Source organism: Homo sapiens, chromosome 12, assembly GCF_000001405.40.
Source record: "Homo sapiens chromosome 12, GRCh38.p14 Primary Assembly".
NCBI classification, from domain to species: Eukaryota; Metazoa; Chordata; class Mammalia; order Primates; family Hominidae; genus Homo; species Homo sapiens.
The window spans coordinates 17,949,285-17,950,628 of NC_000012.12; the positions used below are offsets into that span (position 1 = coordinate 17,949,285).

Sequence of the window (1,344 nt, forward strand, 5' to 3'; positions counted from 1 at the left end):
ATATCAAAATGCATCAAAGAAGTAGTGAAAATTCTGTGCAACATAGAAAGCCAGAATGGCCACATAGAGAATGGAAGAAAACACTGTGCCTTGGCCACCCTGTCTCCTGGCGAGGATCGCCTCAGAACCAGGAAGTACTTCTCCCTGCAGTGAAAAGGGAACCAAAAGAAGCCTTGCATCCCCCATCACCACCCCGGACATCTACAGACTTCACCACTGGGCACTACTGCAGTCCTCACAAGTGCTAAGCCCAGCTGAGGGAACTTACTGGATTTCCCAAAGCTGCGCTCCCACCAGAGACAGAGCCAGCACTGTGCTCCATCCCTCATGGCTGGTATGGTCTGTTCTGGGGGCAATTAACCATGGTGCCCTTTCATCTCTGAGGTTTTGTTGCTGCTGAACCACCCCTGCCTGGGAGCCTGCCATCTCTGAGTTGAGCTGCTGCTACACCCCACCCCATGGGACCAAGCTGTTACAGAGCCACTGCATCTGCATTTCCCAATTGCTGCTGTGTCTTGCCCCTGGGGCCTGAGCTGAAGCAGTGCACCGTCTCTCCAGGAAATGTTGCCTTGGCCTCCCAGAGCAGTCACAACCCCTGGTTCCTGGGCTGAAGTGGCACCCTGCCTCCTCAGGAAATGATGTCTTTGCCACTCAAAGTAGTCACACCCCCTTGTGCTTGAGCTGAAGTGTTGCCCTCTCTCCAGAGCAGCCATGCCCACTAGGCCTAAGCTGAAGCAGCACATCACCTGCTAGGAAATCAGTACCTTGGCTGGGCTAAGCAGACATACATCCCAGGGCTAAGCCAAAGTGGCTCCTCATGTCCAAGGGAAACAGAGAGTTGTCTGAGCTCAGACACCATGTCCTACAGGCCACATAACTAGTATTCTGCCTCTCTGGAACTGGCATCATTGTGTTGCTCCCTGCTCCCCTGGGTCCAAGCAATAGCTGTGTTCCACTATTCTGTTTTCCTTGCTGCCACTGCACCTGGCCTTAAAGAGTCTGGGATACCGTCATGTCCCATAATCCCAGGGTCCAGAGTCACCACTACATAAGGCTACATACCCTGAGGCCTGAGTTGCCACTGTGCCATATTAGCTAACATTTCTGAATTGCATCTGCTCCCTGGGCCAAAACCTAGAGAGCATTCCTTCTTCCTTCCTTGTACCAAGACAATTTTGTGCTCTGTCTCCTAGGGTCAGAATCACAGTGACAATCCAGCCTCCTGGGCCTGAGCTGCTTGGAGGTGGTTCAGAGTCACAGACCCTGCTTTTGTGAGCATTCTGAATCCAACCCTGCTTCAGAGAGTAAACCTGAACCCCAAAACTCAGGTGCGATGCTGAGCCC

General features: G+C 52.7%; 1 annotated feature.

The window, feature by feature from the left end:
• Positions 542-1,085: an enhancer, noted in NCBI's record as "H3K27ac-H3K4me1 hESC enhancer chr12:18102760-18103303 (GRCh37/hg19 assembly coordinates)". NCBI's record gives its function as "activates a minimal SCP1, AML or CMV promoter by ChIP-STARR-seq in naive H9 embryonic stem cells {active_cell/tissue: H9 hESC(naive)}" and the evidence as "EXISTENCE:reporter gene assay evidence [ECO:0000049][PMID:30033119]".